Source organism: Homo sapiens, chromosome 3, assembly GCF_000001405.40.
Source record: "Homo sapiens chromosome 3, GRCh38.p14 Primary Assembly".
Classification (NCBI taxonomy): Eukaryota; Metazoa; Chordata; class Mammalia; order Primates; family Hominidae; genus Homo; species Homo sapiens.
The window spans coordinates 821,534-841,565 of NC_000003.12; the positions used below are offsets into that span (position 1 = coordinate 821,534).

The window sequence follows — 20,032 nt, forward strand, 5'->3', positions numbered from 1 at the left end:
GAAAACCTAGGCAATACCATTCAGGACATAGGTGTAGACAGAGACTTCATGACTAAAACACCAAAAGCAAAGGCAACAAAAGCCAAAATTGACAAATGGAATCTAATTAAACTAAAGAGTTTCTGCACAGCAAAATAAACTATTTTCAGAGTTAACAGGCAACCTACGGAAAGGGAGAAAAAATTTGCAATCTATCCATCTGACAAAGGGCTAATATCCAGAATCTACAAAGAACTTAAACAAATTTACAAGAAAAAAACTCAGTGGCCAAAGGCTATGAACACACACTTTTCAAAAGAAGACATTTATGCGGCCAAGAAACATAAAAAGCCCGTCATCACTAGTAATTAGAGAAATACAAATCAAAGTCACAATGAGATACCATCTCCTGCCAGTTAGTATGGCGCACATTAAAAAGTCAGGAAACAACCCATGCTGTAAAGGATGTGAAGAAATAGAAACGCTATACACTGTTTTTGGGAGTGTAAATTAGTTCAACCATTGTGGAAGACAGTGTGGCAATTCCTCAAGGATCTAAAACTAGAAATCCCATTTGACCTAGTAATCTCATTACTGGGTATATAGCCAAAGGATTATAAATCATTCTACCATAAAGACACGTGCACATTTATGTATATTGTGGCACTGTTCACAATAGCAAAGACTTGGAACAAATCCAAATGCCCATCAATGATATACTGGATAAAGAAAATGTGGCACATGTACACCATGGAATACTATGTAGCCATAAAAAGGATAAGTTTATGTCTTTTGCAGGTACATGGATGAAGCTGGAAACCATCATTCTCAGCAAACTAACACAAGAACAGAAAATCAAACACCGCATGTTCTCACTCATAAGTGGGAGTTGAACAATGAGAACACATGGAAACAGGAAGGGGAACATGACACACTGGGGACTGTCGGGAGCTGAGGGGCTAGGGGAGGGACAGCATTAGGATAAATACCTGATTAGATGATGAGTTGATGGGTGCAGAAAACCACCATGGCACCTATATGTCTTTTGTAACAAAACTGAACGTTCTGCACATGTACCCCAGAACTTAAAATATATTAATAAAAAATATATTTATGTTTCTACATATTGACAAATATGAATAAATTGTTATTAAAAATTGTGCACAAGATTCTTCCTAAATATGTTTTCACTGTTCTTGAGAAAATGCCTAGGTATAGGATTTCTAAGATTTTATGAAGTCAAATAAAAACTCTAGGAAATCACCAAACTGTTTTCCAAATTGTTTTTACCACTTTACATTTCCACCAGCAGTGTTCCGCATCTTCCAGTTGTTCCACATCTTCACTAGAACTTAGTATTGTAGGGGTTTTTTTGTTCCCTTTAACTTTCTAAAGCTGTGTAATGGTACCACATTAATCTCATTGTGATTGTAGCTTGCATTTTTCAAATGACATTGAGTATCATTTAATGTGCTTATTATATATTGTCAAATGTCAGTTCAATATTTTGCCAGGTTTTAATTGGATTATTTTTCTCATTATTGAGTTTTAAAAGTTATTTACATATTCCTAATAGGCATCTTGTATTAAGTATGCATTTTTCAAATATTTTCTGGGTCATTTCTTTCTCAACAATATCTTTTAAAGAATGAATGTTTTAAATTTTGATAAAGATCCATTTATCAATATTTTTTATGAATTTTAATTTTGGTGTCATATTTAAGAATTATTTGCCTAACATAAGATCACACAAATATTTCTGAGTATTTTGTTTCTCGAAGTTATTTAATGACATGGTTTGGCTCTGCGTCCCCACCCAAATCTCATCTTGTGGCTCGCATAATTCCCACATGTTGTGGGAGGGACCTGGTGGGAGATGATTGAATCCTGGGGGCTCGTCTTTCCAGTACTGTTCTCCTGACCATGAATGAGCTCAAAAGATCTGATGGTTTTAAAAACAGGAGTTTCTCTGCACAAGCTCTCTCTTTTCTTGATGCCATCCATGTAAGATGTGATTTGATCCTCCTTGCCTTCTGCCATGATTGCGATGCCTCCCCAACCATTTGGAATTGTAAGTCCAATAAACTTCTTTCTTATGCAAATTGCCCAGTCTCTGACATGTCTATCAGCAGTGTGAAAATGGGCTAATACATATAATTTTCTGTTTTATATTTAGATGTACAATTTATTCTGATTTAAATTTTTGTGTGTTATAGATCAAGTCCTTTTCTTTTTGTCTTTCATTCATTACTATTTTTATTTTTGCATATAGATGAACATTTCTTTCACCACAACTTATTGGTGACTGTTCTTTAGCCACTGATTTGCCTTTGTGTCTTTTTCAAATTGATCGTACATGGGTGAGTGTATTCCTGATACATTCATATTTGTGTCTGTCCTTTTGCTAAAACAATGCTGTCTTAATTATTAATATTATTCATATTATGCCTCTTTAATAAATCACTTAATGTGAATCTTCCAACTTAGTTCTTTTAAAAAATTGTTTATTCCACTTTACTTAAATGTGTATGTATCCATCAACAGAGCTTTAAAGTACGTCGTGTAAAATCTGATACAATTGAAAGAAGAAACCAACAAATGCACAATTATTCTTAGGAACCTCAGCACTCTCTTTTCAGTAATTTATAGAACAAACAAATGAAATCAGCAAAGATATAGAAGACTTAAAAAATACTGTCAAGTAACTTGACCTAATTGACATTTAGAGAACATTCCATCAAACAAAAGCAATATCTATCTATCTATCTATCTATCATCTATCTATCTATCTATCGTCTATCTATCTATCTATACACTTTTCAATTGCATATGGAACGTTCACCAAATAGACCACAGTCTGGGACAAGGGTGTTCAACTATAAAAAAAAATCATTCAATGTGATCCACATAAAAGCAGACTAAGCAAGGAAAACAACACATAATCATATCAATATACAAAGAAATGCATTTGACAAACTCAAAATTCATGTATGATTAAAAAAAATTCTCCACAAACCTAGAAGGTGATTTCCTTAATATGAAGAAGAATATCTATTTAAAAATTTACAGCTAACATTATACCTAATGGAGAACTGCTGAATGACTACCTCTATTGGAAAGACTAAGCAATGAAAATACACTTTTAGTACTCCTATTCAATATTACAGTGCTTCCAGTCCTAGCAAGTGCAAGTAAGTGCAATAAGGAAAGAAAAAAGATTTTAAAATGCATGCAAATTGAAAAGGAAGAAGTAAAAAAAAAATCCCCAGTGATAGACTAGATGATCATCTATGAAGAAAATCTCAAAAAAATCTACAAAAAAGCTCTCAGAGTTAGTAAGTGAGTTTAGTACGTTTGTGGCATAAAAGTTTGACATAGGAAATCAATCATTATTTTATATATTAATAATTAACAATTGAAAACCAAAATACTAATACTAATTATCATATTTCTTTAAAAATGATATATGTAAGTATGAATATAACAAAACATATTTAAGATATATATATGGTGATATGGTTTGGCTCTGTGTCCCCACCCAAATCTTATGTGGAATTGTAATCCCAAAGTGTGGAGGGAGGGACCAGGTGAGAGGTGATTTGATCATGGGGGCAATTACTTCAGCTGTTCTCATGATAATAAGTGAGATCTTACTAGAGCTGATGGTTTTAAGTGTGGCACTTCCTTGCTCTTTTCCTCTCTCTCCTGCTGCCTTGTAAAGAAGGTGTTTGCTTCTCCTTCACATTCTGCCATGGTTGTAAGTTTCCAGAGGTTTTTCCAGTCATGCAGAACTGAGAGTCAATTAAACTTCTTTTATTTATAAATTACCCAGTCTCAGATAGTCTCTTCATAGCAGTGTGAAAATGAACTAATACATATGGTAAACATTACAAAATGTTAACAAAAAATTAAGGAAGACCTAAATAAATGGAGAGACATACCACAGGTATGAACTGGAAGGCTCATTATAGTTAAAAAGCAATTTTCTATAAATTGATTTCTAGATTTAAGGCAGTTTAAATTAAAATATTCTCAGGATTCTTTTTAGATATCGACAATTTTATTATGAAATGTGTACGGAAAGTTAAAAGCAGTAGAATAGGCAAACCAATTTGGATAAAGAACAAGGTTGAACGCCTTACACTACTTGACATTACAAAATACAAAATTTAGCCCAGGAAAAGTTGGACATGTAGACCAATGGAACAAAGTACAGTTTTACAAAATAGCCTGTACAAATATGGCCAACAGATTTTTGAAAAAGGTGTAAAGGTAATTAAATAAAAATCTTTTTGAGAAATGATTGTAGAACAATTGAATATTCATGTGCAAAACTGTAAATGTTGATCTACAGCTCCTTCTTCTCCAAAAACATGTTTTAAATGGATCATAGATCTAAATGCAAAACATAAAACTGAAAAAAAAATCTTAGAAGAAAACATAGAAGGAACTCCTTGATGAGAGGAGGCAGAATAAGATAGCAGAATAAGAGGCTCCATCAATCATCCTCCCTTCAAGGACATCAAGTTAACAACTATTTACACAGAAAAAAAAAAAACACCTTTATGAGAGCCAAAAGTCAGATATGCACCCATAGTACCTGGTTTTAACTTCATATTGCTGAAAGAGGCACTGAAGAGATAGAAAAAACTGTCCTGAATGCCAGCATTACTCACCCAATGCCCTTCCTCTGGAAGTGGTGGCATGGTGTGTAGAGCACCCCTGGACACCAGGGAAGGGAGAAAACAACAATTGTGAGGCATTAAAAATGCTATTCTGTTAGAGCTGAAAGAAAAACTGGACTAAACTCAGCTGACACCTGCACATGGAGGGACCATTTAAACCACTCCTAGCCAGAGGGGAATCACAAATTCCAGTGGTCCAAACTTGAGTTCCCACAAACCTCACCACAGAGGGCTACAGTGCTCTGTTTCTCCATGTAAACCTGAAAGGCAGTCTAGGCCATAGGACTGCAACTATTAGGTGAGTCCTAGTGCTGAACGGGGCCCAGGGACAATGGACTGAAGGAGCATGTGCCATACTGATACATCAAGTGGGGTAGTCAAGAGAGTTCTGGCATCACCCTTCCCCTAATCCCAGGCTGCACAGCTCATGGCTTCAAGACAGACCCTTTCCTTTTGCTTGATGAGAGGAAAGAGTGGGGAGGTCTTTGTCTTGCATCTTGGATACAGTCTCAGCCACAGCAGAAGGGATGAAGCACCTGTTTCAGGCCATAGCATCCAGGTGACATTTTTAGACACACTCGGGACAAAAAGGGAACCCACTGCCATGAAAGGAAGGATGCAGTCCTGGCAGCATTAATTACCTGCTAACTTAAGAGCCCTTGGGCCCTGAATAACCAGCAGTATACCCAAGTACTATGTTGAGGGACCTGTGTGACTCAGCACATTACCAGCTATGGTGGCCGTGGGGCAAAACTCCTGCTTAACAAAAGCAGAGGGAAAAGTAAAGGGGACTTTGTCTTGCACCTTAGGTACCAGCATGGCCACGGGGGAGACAAGCCCCGAGTAGGCTTTTGAAGTCCCTGATGACAGAACTTGACTTCTGCATGGCATTTCTGGACCTGCCCTAAGCCAGCGAGGAGACCACTGCTATCAAGGGTGAGTCCCATACCAGGCAGAATTCACCATTCACCACAAGCTAACTTAAGAGGAAATATCAATGGTAGTCTGTCAGTACTCCTTGTGGCTTGCGGTGGAGGTAGCTACAGGGTGAGGCAACTCTGCCTTTGGAATGGAGAGGAAAAAGTGGGAAGGATTACTTCTTACGGTTTTAGTGCCAGCTCAGCCATAGTACAACAGAACACCAGGTAGACTTATTAGGTTTTTGACTCGTCCCTGACTCCTGGATGACACCTCTGGACCCACCTCAGGCCTGGGAAGGCACTGCCCTGAAGGAAAGAACACAGGCCTGGCTGGCTTTGCCAGTAGCTGACTGTAGAGCCCCAGGCCCTTGAGCAAATATAGGCAGTAGCAAAGGAGAGGTTACAGCAGGCCTTAGGTGAGACCCAGTGCTGTGTTGGCTTCAGGTCTGACCCAGAAGAGTCATAGTGGTGGTGGCCACATGGGTGCTTGTGTCACTCCACCCCCAGTTTTAGGTGACTTAGAACAGAGAGAGAAACCCTGTTTGTTTGTGAGAAAGTAAGGAAGAGAACAAGAGTCTTTTCCTGATAATCCAGAGAATTCTCCCGGTTCTTGTCCAGGACCATCAGGTAGTACCTCTACAAGTCTGCAAGAACCACAGTGTTGCTATGTTTAAGGTGTCCCTTAAAGCAGATACAGCTTACATCACAACACCCAAGTCCTTTCAAATATCTGAAAAGCCTTCCCATGAAGGATGGCTACAAATAAGCCCAGACAATGAAGACAACAATAAATACCTAACTATTCAATGCCCAGACACCAAAGAGCATCTACTAGCATCAACACCGTCCAAGAAAACATGACTTAATCAAATGAACAAAATAAGGCACCAGGGACCAATCCTAGAGAAACAGAGATATATGACCTTTCAGACAGATAATTCAAAATAGTTCTGTTGAGTAAACTCAAAGAAATTCAAGATAGCACAGATAAAGTATTCAGAATTCTCTCAGAAAAATCTAACAAAGAGATTGAAATAATTTAGAATAACCACGCAGAAATTCTGAAACTGAAAATTGCAAATGGCATAGTGATAAATGCATCAGAGTCTGTTAATAGCAAAATTGATGAAGCAGAAGAAAGAATTAGTAAGCTGAAAGACAGGCTATCTGAAAATACACAGTCAAAGGAGACAAAAGAAAAAGAATAAAAAACAATGAAGCACACCGACGGGATCTAGATAATGGCCTCAAAAGGGCAAATCTAAGAGTTATTGGCCTCAAAGCAGGCATAGAGAAAGAAATAAGGGTAGAAAGCTTATTCAAAAGGATAATAGCACAGAACATCTCAACCCTAGAGAAAGATATCAATATCCAAGTACAAGAAGGCTCTACAATACCAAGCAGATTTAGCCCAAAGAAGACTAACTCAAGGCATTTAATAATCAAACTCCCAAAAGTCAAGGATAAAAATAAGAATTATAAAAGCAACAAGACAAAGGAAACAAATAACCTACAATAGTGCTCCAATAAATCTGGAAGCAGACATTTCAGTGGCAACCTTACAGGCCAGCATAGAGTGGTATAACACATTTAAGTATGAAAGGAAAAATGCTTTTACTCTAGAACAGCAGATTGAGCGAAAATATCCTTCAAACATGAAGGAGAAATAAAAACTTTCCCAGACACACAAAAGCTGAGGAATTTCATTAACATCAGACCTGTCCTACAAAAAATGCTAAAAGGAGTACTGAGTACTTCAATCAGAAAGACAAAGACATTAATGAGCCATAAGTTATCACCTGAAGGCACAAAACTCACTGGTAATCATAAGTACATAGAAAAACACATAATATTATAACCCAGTAGCAGTGGGGTGTAAACCACTCTTATCCTAAAGTATAAAAACTAAATGGTGAACCAATAAAAAGAAAATAACTACAATGACTTTTTAAGACAGCACAATATAGTATAAATAGAAACAACAAATATTAAAAAGGAGGGAGATGAAGCTAAGGTGTAGAGATTTTGGAGGTTATTTTTGCTTGTTTTTTTGCTTGTTTATGCAAACAGTGTTAAGTTTTTATCAGGTTTAAATGATGTGTTATAAGATAGTATTTGCAAGCCTTATGGTGACCTCAAAACAAAAAAGCATACAATGCATACACAAAAAATAAAAAGAAAGAAACTAAATCATATCACCAGAGAAAAATCATCTTTACTAAAGGAAGACAAGAAGGAAAGAAGGAAGTGATAGCAATAAGAGGTAGAAAAATCCTAGGCAGACAGAGGCAGGTCCTGGGTGAAACCCCACCTTCTAGCCAAAGACAGTTTAAAGCCTGAAAGCCAGGGACCTTCTTCACAAGGTGGCAGGAAGGAGAAGGGCAGACTGAAGGGGGAAGAGCCCCTTATAAAACTATCAGATCTCATGAGAATTCACTCTCTATCATGAGAAGAGCCTGGGGAAAACCACCCCTATGATTTAATTACCTCCACCTGGCCTCTCTCAACATGTGAGGATTATGGAGATTATAATTCAAGATGAGATTTGGATGGGAATGTACGAAGCCTAACCTTATCATTCTGCCCCTGTCACACCCAAACTTCATGTCTTTTTCACATTTCAAAACCAACTATGCCTTTCTAACAGTCCCCCAAAGTCTTAATTCATCCCAGCATTAACCAAAAAGTCCAAGTCCAAGTCTCTTCTGAGACAAGGCAAGTCCCTTCTACCCATGAGCCTGTAAAATAAAAAACAAGTTAGTTACTTCCTAGATACAATGGGGGTACAGGCATTGGGTAAATACACCCATTACAAGTGGAAGAAATTGGCCAAAATGCAGGGACTATAGGCTCCATGCAAGTCCCAAATCAAGCAGGACAGTCAAACCTTAAAGTTTCAAAATGATCTCATTTGAATCCATGTCTCACATTCAGGTCACACTGATGCAAGATGTGTGCTCCCACAGCCTTTGTCAGTGCCACACCTGTGGCTTTGCAGGGTACAGCACCCCTTCTGGCTGCTTTCAATTGTTGGCATTTATTGTCTGCGGCTTTTCCAGCCACACAGTGCAAGCTGCCAGTGGATCTACCATTCTGGCCTCTGGAGGACAGTGACCTCTTCTCATACCTTCACTAGGCAGTGCCCTACAAGGGACTGTGTAGTGGCTCAGACCCCACATTTCCCTTCCACAATGCACTAGCAGAAGTTCTTCATGAGGGCTCCACCCCTGCTGCAAGCTTCTGCTTGGACATACAGGCATTTCCATACATCCTCTGAAATCTAGGTGGAGGTTCCTAACCCTCAGTTCCTGACTTCTGTGTACCCACAGGCTCAACACTATGTGTAAACCACCAAGACTTAGAGCTTGCACCCTATGAAGCAATGGCCTGAGCTCTACACTGGCCCCTTTTAGCCACGGCTGGGATGCAAGCCACCAAATCCGAAGACTGCACAAAGCAGCAAGGCCCTGGGCCAGGACCATGAAACCATTATTTTCTCCTAGGCCTCCGGGCCTGTGATAGGAGGGGCTGCAGTGAAGACCTCTGATATGCCCTAAAGATATCTTCCCCATTGTCTTGGTGATTCACATTTGGCTCCTCTTTGCTTATGCAAATTTCTACAGCTGACTTGAATTTCTCTTCAGAAAATAGGTTTTTCTTTTCTGTTGCATCATCAGGCTGCAAATTTTCTAAACTTTTATGCTCTGCTTCCCTTTTAAACATTAGTTTCAATTCCAAACCATCTCTTTGTTAATGCATAAAACTGAATGCTTTCAAGAGCACCCAAGCTCTTGAATGCTTTGCTGCTTAGAAATTTCTTCTGCCAGATTCCCTAAATTATCTTTCATGTTCAAAACTCCACAGATCACTAGGGCTGTGGAAAAATGCTAAAGCATAACAAGAGTCACCTTTATTCCAGTCCCCAAAAAGCTCTTCATCTCCTCTGAAACTACCTTAGCCTGGACTTCATTGTCCATATCACTATCAGCATTTTGGTCAAAGCCATGCCCCACTACCTTGGTATCAATTTACTGTATTAGTTTCTTCTCACATTGCTATAAAGAACTGCCTGGAACTGGGTAATTTATAAAGAAAGAGGTTTAATTGACTCACAGTTCAGCATGGTTGGCAAGGCCTCAGGAAACTTAGAATTATGGCAGGAAGGAAGGAGAAGCAAAATACCTTCTTCACAAGGTGGCAGGAAGGAGAATGAATACAGGAGGAACTACCAAACCCTTATAAAACCATCAGATCTTGTGAGAAGTAACTCAATATCATGAGAACAGCATGGGGAAAACCACCCACATGGTACAATTACCCCCACCTGGTCTCTCCCTTGAAACACAGGGATTATGGGGATTACAATTCAAGATGAGATTTGGGTGAGGACTCAAAGCCTAACCACATCAACTCATATCTCTTGGAATGCACAGAAGTCTAATCAAAGTTAACTAAAGACTTAAATCTAAGACCTCAAACTATGAAACTATTACTAGAAAACACTGGGACAAATCTCTAGGACACTGGTTTGGGCAAAGATTTCTTGAGCAATACCCTACAAGCACAGGCAACCAAAGCAAACATGGACAAATGGAATCATGCCAAGTTAAAAACCTTTTGCACAGCAAAGGATACAATCAAGAAAGTGAAAGGACAACCCACAGAATGCAAGAAAATATTTGCAAACTACCCATCTGATAAGAGGTTAATAATCAGAATATACAAGGAGCTCAAACAACTCTATAGAAAAAAATATATAATGAACTGATCAAAACATGAGCAAAAGATTTGAATAGACCTTTATCAAAAGAAGACATACAAATGGTAAACTGGCATATTAAATGGTGCTCAATATTGTTGATCATCAGAGAAATGCAAATCAAAACTACAATGAGATACCATATCACCTCAGTTAAAATGGCTTATATTCAAAACACAGGCAATAACAAATGCTGGCCAGGATGTGGAGGAAAGGGCACTCTTGTATATTGTTGGTAGAAATGTAAATTATTGTGGAGATGAGTTTGGGGGTTCCTAAATAAAACTAAAAATGGAGCTACTTTATGACCCAGCAATCCCCACTGCTGAGTATATACCCAAGAGAAAGGAAATCAGTATATCAAATATATATCTGCATTCCTATGTTTGTTGCAGCACTGTTCACAACAGCTAAGATTTGGAAGCAACAACAGATGAATACATAAAGAAAATGTGGTGCTTATACACAATGGATTACTATTCAGTCATTAAAAAGAATGAGAATCTGTCATTTGGAACAACATGGATGGAACTGCAGATTATTATGTTAGATTAAATAAGCAAGGCATAGAAGAACAAACATTACTTGTTCTCACTCATTTGTGAAACCTAAAAATCAAAACAAGTGAACTCATGGACATAGAAATTAGGAGAATTGTTACCAGAGGCTGGAAACAGTAGTAGGGGACTGGGGGAGAGGTGGAGATTGTTAATGGATACTAAAAAACAGAGTTAGAAAGAATGAATAAGACCTGCTGTTTGATAGCATAACAGGGTGACTGTAGTCAATAATAACTTAATTGTACATTTTTAAATAACTTAAAGAGTGTGACTGGATTGTTTATAACTCAAAGGATAAAAGTTTGAGGGGATGGATACCCCATTCTCCATGATGTACATATTTCACACTACATGCCTGTATCAAACCTTTCCATGTACCCCATAAATGTATATACCTACTAAGTACCCACAAACTGTTTTTCAAAAATTTTAAAAAGAAACTCCTTGGATAATCCATGAAAGAAAAAGATGATAAACTGGATTTGAACCAATTAAAATAATTTGCTCTGTTGTCAAAAAGAGGATGAGAAAACAGCCCACATGCCATAAGAAAACATTTTAAAATCATATATCTTGTACCCAAATGTAAGAAATCTCAAATTTTAACAATAAGTAAATAAACACAGTAAAAATATGTTCAAGAGATTTGAACTGACATGATAGCAAAGGTGCTATATGAATGACAGTAAGGCACATGAAAAGGTGATCAACCTCATTATTCATTATAAAAACGCTAATTACAACATCTAATAAAAACATACTAGAATGGCTAAAATCCAAAAACAAAATGACAGTAGCAAAGGCTAGTGGGAATATGAAACAACTGGAACTGTCATATGTCACTGGTAGAAATATAAATGGTACAGCTACTCTGGGACAGTTTGGTGTTTTTGTACAGTTAAACATAGACTTACTGTATAACCCAGCAATCCCACTTATGTTCACACAAAACCTGCTGCTTACAATCACCCCAAACTGGAAACCACCCAAATGTTTCTCTAAGAATTACTGGATTAACAAATTGCATTATATCCCCATACAATGAAACATTACTGAGCAAGAAAAAGGAACACTCTATTTTTACACAAAACAATTTGGATGAGTCCCAAATGCTAAGTGAAAGAAGGCCATTTCTAAAGTAACATACTGTATGTTTCTACTTACATGACATTCTGAAAAGGTAAAGCTATTAGGAAGAGAAAACAGATTGGTTGTTGCCAGTGGTTAGGTTTGGTGGGACTGTCTACCTGCAAATGGTAGTATCCAAGGCTCCATAGGGTGTTGGGATTGTTCTCTATCTTGTTAGGAAGGCTGGTTACAAGAATATATGCTTGCGTTAAAACTCGTAACTCTGGATGCTATCAGAAAATAAATTTTACTTTATGTAAGTTCAAATATAATAAATGATAGCAATTTGTGATATTAAGGTCATTTAATTTAAAAAATAATATCTAATCAACCCAATATTAAGAAAGTTTAACATTATGATCGCAAAATTCTAAGTAATTTAATTGTACTCAATGTGAATTACTTTCTCAAAGGAGCATGTGATTGTAAAACCTACCTGTAAGTTTGCTTGTAAGATATCTTATCCATCTCTAATCAGATGTCATGGAAGTGGATGAATGTCCCTATCCTTTAAATGTTCTGCTTTAGGAACAGAAAACCAAATACCACGTGCTCTCACTTATCAGTGGGAACTGAATGATGTGAACACATGGACACGTGGTGAGGAGAAACACACACTGGGACCTCTCAGAGGGTGGGGCTGCGGGAGGAAGAGCGTCAGGAAGAATAGCTAATGAGTGCTGGGCTTAACACCTGGATGATGGGGTGATCTGTGCGGCAAACCACCATGGCACTTGTTTACCTATGTGACAAACCTGCACATCCTGTACATGTACCCCTGAACTTAAAATAAGAATTGGAAATTTAAAAAAACAAAAAGCCAAAAATTTCTGCTTTAATTAAATATCATTATCTTTTTATAATGCAAAGAAAAATGTGTCTTAAATTGTATTTAAGATTACATTGATTTTATTCGACACCATCATTCAGTTTACCTGAAATTCTTATCCTGAAAATATCTGACATAGGTGACTCTACATATAACAAAAGAAAACAAATATCAGTAACTTTACAGATTGTGCCAAACTTCTTCCTCAACGTAATGGACTGTGTTATCAGCCATTCAAAGCATCTACATCTAAACGAAGACATCTAGATGAGTAACTTCTATGCATAGCTTCAGTTATTCAATTTTGCTCAAATTACAGTGGACTACTAGTGAATTGTCACTATAGATATTCATAGGCTTCATATAAAATATTGGCCATGTTCCTATATGATTCTGGTTGCTCCAGAGGTCTTGGATTCATAATTACCTGAGCGTTTCTAACATGTATTAACATGAAGCATCAATTGTTTCTGGTAAATGAGGAATAAGTGGTTTTTGTTCAGAATTGCTCTCTGTAGATTCTCTGCTAGTATTATAATCCTCTTTGATTGAGGTAAAAATAACCTGGATGACTAAAGGTAAATTTTTCCACAAAGGAGAATTAATGCACTGTCTGTTTTCTGTAGAATTATGACAGATTTTATGCCTTTGTTAAATCCTAAGATTAGTTGGTATAACTACTTTCAATGCTCTGGCCTATTTTCTTTGTTGCTAAAATGAAAATAGATCAGAAACACCTTTTGAGGCCTCTGGATTTATAATTTAAGAATTAACTCTGAGAAAGTAGTAGGTGAATAAATAGAGTTATAATCTAAGACAACGTTACATTCCTTGTGTGAGTCTCACATCTAAGACCCGGCAGTACTTTCTTCCTCTGTGCATTCTCACGAATACCCACACACTGTAAGCATAGTTTCTAAGATTCCATAATTATGAATCCTAACAATAAGAATGACTCAGAATGCAGAATATTACAATGCAGACTCTGTCCTGTCAGGTAAAGTAAGGAAAGGTAAATACTGCTTACCGATACACATTATTAAATGGTCTGTTCTAATTTCTAATTGTAACTTCTTGGTTTCAATATTAGACATACATAGAAAGTTCTGCCTAAGTAACTTGAGGCTGATTCCCTGTGGCACAGGTCCTTACTAATAGATGGTGGTTTTAGAATTTGCATTAAGTCTTTCTATCTAGTTCATTTCAACAAATATTTACCGAATATCCACTCTAGTCGAGGCACTGTGCTACCATATGGGAACATAAAGATGACTAGGACAATCCCTATCCTGCAGGAGTGTACAATTACAAAGCAGAGATGTGTTGATTGTTATGATTAATATAAAGTATAGCAGGGTTCCAAATGCATGAAGCTAGACTGAAGCATGGAGAATATTTAAAGGAGAAAAACCCTGAGTCTACTTGGGGAGATTAATCAAGATTTCAAGGAAGAGGTAACATTGGAAAGGGTCCACTGAGAGGGAGTCAGACTTTGGTGGGCACAAACCCAAAATGAAGGAGATGGGAACAGTAAGTGCTTTTGTTTACTGCATGCGGATTGATGGTGAGAAGTTAACCAGTAAATCGGAGAGCCCAGACCTTAAATATCTAGTCAAGTTTGTGTTCCATTAAGACAATAAGTTTGCTGACTAAAGATTTTTGAAAGAATTAGATGACATTTTCATGAAAAAATACACTCATATGGACATCAGCATGCACATACATATGTATACATATTTATACAGAGCATACATATATATTTATATACATATAGAGTACATTTCATTTAAATGAAACGAAACTACTTGGACTGTGGAGGATAAATTTAGAGAAATCTACACTTGGAATCACCTGTTACAATATAAATATAAAACTTTATGGCATAGATAGTCATCAGTGTTATACTCAGAACATTCAAGTAAATATATGATAATTGTATAATATCAGGGTTATATGCTTTTATAGTATAATGCATATAAATTTATAGTATGTAGTATACTAGTAGGCTCAAAATATGACTAGTACTGGTGCCATTATTTTTGAAAATTAGCTAAGGCACTAAAAAAGATAATTCATGTGAACTAGACTGATAAGCTGAAAACATTGCTACTTGTTATTTTTATGTCAAATGTAATTTGTTTTAGAATAAACATTATAATTGGCTATTCAATGCCCACACACTTAGTATAACTTTTTAGGTAGAATCAGTGATTTTATGGTAACGTCTAACCTTGTGGGGAAAAATATTTCTCTAAACTTCAGTTTACTGAAACTTAAATTTCACACAGAGTCATTGACTAAAAAAGAAAGTCACCAGGACCTTCTCATCCATCTCATAAATTGCTAATGCCCACTTCTAATGGTGCATTTGCAATTGGTTTGGTCTATGAATGACACACCCATAATCATATAACTTCCTAATAACATTTTGTGGTTTATACTCCTCTAATAATTCTCTGTTTAACAATGGTCATAATGATTTTCATACAATACAGATACTTAAATAATATTTTGCATTTTTCCAGATTATATTTTGGCATAAGTTAAACATTATGTTCATTGTTTATCTTCAATTAAAATAACAGACAAATCTACTAAAGTGAAAGACATGGCAGGAAGGTAAAGACTCTAAAAGCACATGTTTTTAATTGTGAGAAATAATTTTGTCCATTTCTAGAAAAAAGATAGGAAAGGTGATTCTTAAGTATTTAATGTACAGATAAATGATTCATTAATAATTTTTACACAATTATTTAATTTGAATGGATAAATATTATTAAGAATTGTCATAAGTATATATATAAGACATAGTCTTACATGCTGTATTAGTCCATTTGTACACTGCCTAAAGAACTACCTGAGACTGGGTAATTTATGAAGAAAAGAGATTTAATTGACTCATAGTTCCACAGCCTTAACAGGAAGCATGACTGGAAGGCCTTAAGAAACTTACAATCATGGTGGAAGGTGAGAGGGAAGGAAGGACCTTCTTCACATGGTGCCAGGAGAGAGAGGCAGTGAAGGGGGGAATTATCACACACTTTTAAACCGTCATATCTCATGAGAGCTCACTCACTATTATGAGAACAGCAAGGGGGAAATTTCCCCCCATGATCCAATCTCCTCCCACCAGTCTCCTCCTCCAATTCAACATGAGATTTGGGTGGGGGCACAAATCCAAATAGATTATTGTAAGTATAATGAAATATAAGTGCCATTTATTTATTTAAAAACCATTTTTTGAGAACATACTATGTACTAGACATGGTACTGTAACTCTTGTTCTGAGGATTGTATGAAAATTATCATGTTAAAATTCATATGACAAAAGAATGGGTCTACCTCAAGAAGGGTATGGGAAGCTATAAAAAGAATGGATATTTGATCTGGAATTTAAAGATCAGGTAGAAGAAGCTTGTCTTAATGGAAATAGAGATAAGACATGAGAGAGTGAAAAAAGAAAATAAGCAAAAATAGAAGGGAGCTTAAATGCTATCCCATTTGTTGTGGGTTGAATTGTGTTCTCCCCCAAAATATGTCGAAGTCTTAACCCCAGTACCTGTGAATGGGACCTTATTGGGCAATAGGATCTTTGAAGATATAATTCTGATGTAACTTAGTAGATGGAGTCATGCTGGAGGCCCTTAATTCAATACACCTCATGTGCTAAAAAAAAGAGAAGGGACGAGAAGAGACATATACAGAAAGAAAATAACACCATGGCAGAATACAGACACACACAGAGAAGGAAGACAGCCGTGTGACTTTGGTGGAAGAGATGTGAGTGATGGCAACTGCAAGCCAAGGAACACACAAGATTGTTCAAAACCCTCAGAAGCTGGGAGAGAGGCATGAAACACATTTTCCTTCAGAATCCCCAAGTTGCAACCAAACCTGCCGAAACCTGGATTTCAGACTTTTAGCTTCTAAACTGTGAGAGAATAAATTTCTACTGTTTAAACCACCCAGTTTGTGGGAACTTACTACAGCAGTCCCAAGAAACTTGCATACTATGCTGAATAAATGAGGTAGAGTTGTCAAAAGGTGGAACAATTAGTTATAAAAACATATGGAGAGAAATGAGAAGGAAAGAAAAAGTCTAATAAAACTAGGCATTTTGTGAATAAGCTAAGGAGTCAAACTCTTAGCATATAATAATATAGAGTTTGTCTTTTAATTCAAGGCAGTTACATTCTTCTATTTTTTTTTTTATTAAAGAGAGCATGAGTTTCAGAGAAGATGATAATTTTGAAAGGCTAAAAGCTACAGCTATATAGGCCAGAGAAAAGACAATTTCAATTTTCTAATGAGGGATAATGATAGTTTATGCTATGTATTGTTACACATGTAATGCCCTCTAGAGATGAACATGCTACATTGGACCCAGCCTAATAAACGACCTTTGATGTCGTTTTCCTATCAATGGTGAAGGGTTTCGCCAATCTATCCAGAGTTTCCCTTCTTGTTTCTCTGGGGGTTAAGGCCCTCATTAGAAAGTTAGACAGAGAGGGTAATACCTTGGTAATGGCATGGGCAATGTCTTTGATGAATACACTCTTAAGAGCAAGATAATTTAAGTGCACATTACAGAATATTATGGCAAACAATAAAGCTTGCATAGATTGAAAAACAGACCTTTCCCTCACTGTTATTAACTGGGAAAACTAGCTTTGAATTGTAATTAATTTTGGGGTTGGATCAGTTATAAAATGCATATCTTATAAACTAAAGGTTTATTTTTTCGGACAAGATACAACTTCCAGTAACAGGTGAATTTGAATAAGTATTAACTAATTTTAAATAGTTATCCAAAATAACATTATCTAGTTAGAATCAGAGGGACACACACAGGTTGGGAAATATTTTGCATTTCTTGGTGCAATTCTATATTTAATGATTTTTTTCTATGATCTATAATAATAAGAACAATTATTGACATTGTATTTGGTAAAAAATGCTTGATTTGGATTCGAAGTTTCATTCTTACAAAACTGTATGTTTTGGTGTCAAAATGATAACTCAATATACATCATATTCTTATATCACTGGACCACTGTAAATGTATAAAAAGTCTAGGATATAGTTTTCTTTAATTTTACAGTTTAAAAAATAAATTTCTGAGAAAGTCATCACAATTATTGCAAATAATTGTATGATTATGAAAAAAATGGCAGTAGTCACAATGCTACTTGTAAACAGAAAGATACTTGGTCATGTGAAAGATACTTGTAGTCCACTAGGCACATATAGGCCATACTTCTTCAATCTAAAAGACAGAAGAGGCATCTGAGTAACAGACATGTTTCCTTTACTCACCTAGCTTCCTTTTTCTATCCTTTATTGAATTATAATAATAGAATAGGTCTTATTATCAATTAAGTGATCTTTCTTGTTCTCACAATGAGAGCAGCTGCATCAAGTAAGTTTTCGCCTTACTAAAAACTTTCAGATGTCTTTTGGTTTTATTATTCAATTTTTGAGATGTATAATTAAATCCCTGGGAATGAGTGGATATAATTTAGAAGGCAATTCAGCTCTGTGAACTTATACAGATGTCACTAAAATCATGTTTGATGGATAATTTCAGAAACAATGAAAGCATCATTAACTAGAGTAACTTGGAAAAGCACAAGTAAAAGACACTGTTATTTTGACAATATTGAGTTAAATAGAGGCCACAGGAAAAAAAAAAAAAAAAAACCTGCACATCAAAGTTAAATGATCAGCATTCAATGTAAGACATTCTTGGAGAACTGGAATGTTTGCTTTGGTTTTGTTGAAGTGATTAACATGAATATGTCAGCTGCGTAATTCAGTGAACAAAATTCATTTCACTGTAGGAAGTCCATGTGGGTTAAAGGAAAACAAAATCTCTTTGTATGTCCAAATGGTTTTAAAAAGGATCTAGGGAACAGTTAGTATGGTTCTTACTAATTGTTTTCTTTCTTTAGGTGGAATAAATAATTCTAATAAATAAAGGGAATAATCATAAGAATATTCTGAAAGGAACTAACAGAAAGCTCAGTGCAAAATGAAAAACTATAAGCTTACAATAAACTATGTTTTGTATATAGATTTATAGGTATATAAAAGGTTAGATAAATAGAACAGCAATAGAGAACAGAGATAGAAATAAAGATTGATTCTAGGTCTATACCATGTCTTTATTTAATTTAATATAAAAGAAAATCATCGATCAAAGATGCAAGAAATTTTTTTTAAGAATCCAAATGTTGTTAGAATTGACTGTAATAAAAATAGTTTGCCATAGGGCTTTTCATGGTACATTAAAATTAAGAAAAATATTTTCCCATTTACTAGCAGGTCAAGTTGCTTCTTTTCAGTGATCATAATCAATTATCCAGGAAAAGGGACAGAAGAAATCAGGAAAAAGGAGAATAGACTCTTTATGCATAGGTAGGTTCAGAATTAACAAAGTTTTGTGGTGGTGGTTCTTTGCTTTGACACAGATTCAATGTAATAAAATTTGTACCACCTTTAGGCAAAATTGAGACCAATAGAAGAAAAATGTAACATAGAGTCTTGAAGTTGTGTCAATAGAAGAATTTAAAAACATATTTGCTTTTAAAAATTGTTTTATGGCCATATAATTTGCATTCAATAAAGTGCACACATCCTAAATGTTCATTTTGATGAGTTATGATAATTTTATACACTCCTGTAACAAACACCCTAAGTAAGATATAGAACATTTGTATCACCCTAGAATTACATTATATGCCTTTCTATTCAATTTCCACCTAGAAGTGGGAGCTACTTTCTGATTTCCACCAACACATATCAGTTTGTTTTGCATAGTCCTGGATTCTTATAAATTGAATCATGTAGTGTGTAATCTTTTGTGTGTCTGACTTTTTTCACTCAACATAATATCGTTAAGATCCATGCATATGGTTGCATGTATCATTAATTTGTTAGTTTATTGCTAAATAGTACACCATTATAGGAAAATATCAAAATGTATTAATCCATTCTCTTGTTGATAGATATTCGAGTTGTTTCTATTTTATCTACTGTAATTAAGGCTGTTATAAGCATTTTTATATAACATGTTTATGGACGTATGTTTTATTTTTATTTGGATAAAGACTCTAGAACACAATTGAGTGATCATAACATTAGATTGTATATATTTAAGTTTAACTGTATAA

The 20,032-nt window shown here is 35.8% G+C and overlaps 1 long non-coding RNA gene across 1 annotated transcript in view; it reads left to right on the top strand.

The window, feature by feature from the left end:
- LINC01266 (long intergenic non-protein coding RNA 1266) overlaps positions 1–20,032 on the top strand; it is a 253,911-nt gene that overhangs the window by 229,429 nt on the left and 4,450 nt on the right. Inside the window, exon 3 of the long non-coding RNA NR_110118.1 lies at positions 19,182–19,277. This is a non-coding gene — a long non-coding RNA (long intergenic non-protein coding RNA 1266). The remainder of the gene's footprint in view (positions 1–19,181; positions 19,278–20,032) is intronic.